This window comes from Homo sapiens, chromosome 3 (assembly GCF_000001405.40).
Source record: "Homo sapiens chromosome 3, GRCh38.p14 Primary Assembly".
NCBI lineage: Eukaryota > Metazoa > Chordata > Mammalia > Primates > Hominidae > Homo > Homo sapiens.
The window spans coordinates 153,879,055-153,882,340 of NC_000003.12; the positions used below are offsets into that span (position 1 = coordinate 153,879,055).

The following is a 3,286-nucleotide window of genomic DNA, read 5'->3' on the forward strand; positions in this document are numbered from 1 at the left end:
AAATAATTCAGTTGAAAAAGTCTAGTCCTTACAATAAATGCTACTATTACAATTATATATTGATACTGCAAAATTGTGACCTTTGCTCCATTCATTGTACCATATATGAGAATTAACTTGAAATGGTTCAAAGACTAACAAGAAAAACCTGGAAGTATGAAACTTCTAGACAAAAAAAGAGAAGAAAATTTTTGTTGTCTTCGGCTAGTCCAAGAGTTTTTTAGACATAACACCAAAAGTATGATCACTAATAGAAAAATTAATAAACTAGACTTAATCAAAGTTAAATACTCTGTGTTTCCAGAGACTCTGTTAGGAGAATGAGAAGGCAACCCACAGACTTCGAGAAAATATTTGCAAAGTGTAGACCTAACACATCTGGGCTTGCATCTAGAGTATATAAAGAATTCTCAAAAATCATAAGAAAACAATAGTGCAAAAGATTTGAACAGACACTTGACTAAAGAAGACATATTAATGGCAGATAAGCTCAAGAAAAGATGTGTAGCATCACTAGTTTTTAGGGAAAAGCATGCTAAAATCAAAATGAGATATCTCTACATATTTACAAGGACGTATAAATTTTAAAACAAGTGTTGGTGAAAATATGAAGAAACTGGAACTCTCATACATTGCTGGTAGAAACTTAAAATAGTACAACTACTTTGGAAAAGTGTTTGGTCATTTATTTAAAAAATTAAACATATATCCTACCATGTGATCCTATCATTCTACTCATAGATATTTACCCAGAAGAAAAGGAGGCAATGTCCATACAAAGATTTGTATTACAGTGTTCATAGCAGCCTTCCTTGTAATACGCAAAAACTGGAAAGCAGCCCAAATGGTCATAAACAGGTGAATAAATATATAAATGATGCTATTTCTATACAATGGTATTAAAAAGGAACAGAGTATTGATACATGCTACAACATAGAGGAATCTCAAAAATCATAATGCTGTAAGAAATAGGCAGATTAAAAAAGAAAAAGAAAAATGCTGTATAATCCCTTTTGAAGAAAACTCTAAAAAATGCAAACTAATCCAGAGTCATGAAGAGTATATCAGTGATTACCTGGGGACAAGAATGGTGGTGGTATACAAAACGAACAAACAAACAAACAACAAACTGGTAACTACATGAGGTGATGGATGTGTCAAATAACTTGATTGTGGTAATCAAGTCACAATATGTATATTAAATCATCACATTTTATGCCTTGAACTTTTATAGTTTTATTATTCAAGTATACCTCAATAAAACTGGGGCAAAAAAGAATGAAGGAGGTGTGGAGAAAGGTAAGAGGGAGAGATTACAAGTGGCACAGGACAGTTTGGGGTGGTGTATATGTTCATTATTTTGATAGTAGTGATTGTTTCATGGTGGCATACATATGTCAAAAACTACCAAATTGTACACTTTAAAATGTGCAACATATTATATGCCAACTGTAGCTTTTTTTTTAATCTACAGAGAGAGCTCACAGCAGTTTCCACCACTGTCAATCTGTCTCACAAGTGCATTTGCATTTTGGCTTTAGTTTTCTTCTTACTTCAACCACTGCTTTATTTCAAAAGATGGCTAAGGTCCAAATTTATTTTAAAATGATTTGTCACTCACTCATATTCGGAAAGTGTGTACTCAGGAAAATAAACATTCAGCAAGTTTGCCTTACTGTCCACAGCTTTGCCTTATTGAGGTAAGTCAGCCAGTGTCCGCATACTCCAAAGCCAAATCATGTGCATGTGAAATATATTTTCAATATTGTTATCTTTCTTTATTAGGTTGGCTCATCAAATATAATTCATATCACTCAGCATGTGGAGCTCTTGGTTGACCCAGGCAAGAGAAACCAAACTAACTGGACAATTATTTTTAACCTTCCTAAGGTCACATCTACACAGTCCCCCCATATTCATGGGGGATATGTTCCAACACACCCAGTGGAATTCTGAAACTGCAGATAGTACCAAACCATATAGACACACATTTTCCATCTTAACTAAATATTTATTATGCACTGGGGCTATAACTAGCACAAATTTCTTTTTTCTTCTTTACAACTTCATGGATAGATTATTTGCTCTTAGCAACCTTGGCAAATGATTATGTTTCTTTCCTTATTAAGTCAAGAACTTTCATCTTTTCACTAAAGGAAGCACTTGACTGCTTCCCTTTAGCATATCTGAATTGCCAGCATCATTACTTAGGAACATTATTAAGTAAAATAAGGATTACTTGAACACAAGCACTGTGATGCTCAATAGTTGATCTGATAACCAAGACGGTTAGTTACTAAGTGACTAATGAGCAGGTAATATAGATGGCGTGGATGTGCTGTACAAAGAGATGATTCACGTCCCAGGCAGGACAGAGTGGGATGGCGTGAGATTTCGTCACATTACTCAGAACAGCATGCAATTTAAAACATGAATTGCTTTCCATTTAAAAATAAAGGAATTTGATTATGCGTTCTCTAAAGCTTCCAAAAGGTACGTTGCTTGTTTTATTTATTTATTTATTTTTGCATTTTCTATTTTATTAGATCTAAAGCTTCCAAAAGGTACGTTGCTTGTTTTATGTATTTATTTATTTTTGCATTTTCTATTTTATTAGATCTTGTTTACAAAGACTTTTGGAATAACTAGGCAATAGAAGACTTGCATGATGGCTATAGTTTATATGAGTCTCAGAGAAATAAATTGTTCCAAATTATACTTCCCCTGCCACAAAGCTCAAAGTGCCTTATAGAGTCATCACTCATTCTCCAACATGATAAAACTTATGAAAGTAAGTTGTAAATTGTAAAAGACTTAAAATGTGTACCATCATTAGTATTACTTCACAATTATTATCATCTTTATTGTTGAGTTCTCAATAATGTATTGGTTGCTGGAGGGAGTTTCTATAGGTTAGAGAATCCTTATCTTCAAAAAGTAAACGTAAATCATGATCTCATTTATCCCCATAAATTAACACATAATGTGGTTTTTAATTATACAGTAACCTCCTCTTATCCATGGTTTTGTTTTCTGTGGTTTCAGTTACACTTGGTCAACCACAGTCCAAGAATATTAAACTTTTAATTTTAGAATAGTTTTATATTTACAGAAAAAATTATAAAAATAAGAGAGTTCCCAGGTGCCTCACAGCTAGTTTCCCCCATTGTTTGTATCTTATTAGGGTTGTATGTTTGGCGCAACTAATAAACAATACTGATACATTATTATTAAACTCCATACTTAATTCAGAATTCATTCATTTTTCCCTCCTATTGTCCTGTT

The 3,286-nt window shown here is 32.9% G+C and overlaps 1 annotated feature.

Annotated features, from left to right (window-relative positions):
- Positions 1,860-3,059: an enhancer, noted in NCBI's record as "P300/CBP strongly-dependent group 1 enhancer chr3:153598703-153599902 (GRCh37/hg19 assembly coordinates)". NCBI's record gives its function as "activates an origin of replication core promoter dependent on BRD2, BRD4, P300/CBP, MED14 and CDK7 cofactors, with strong dependence on P300/CBP, by STARR-seq in HCT116 cells {active_cell/tissue: HCT116}" and the evidence as "EXISTENCE:reporter gene assay evidence [ECO:0000049][PMID:35650434]".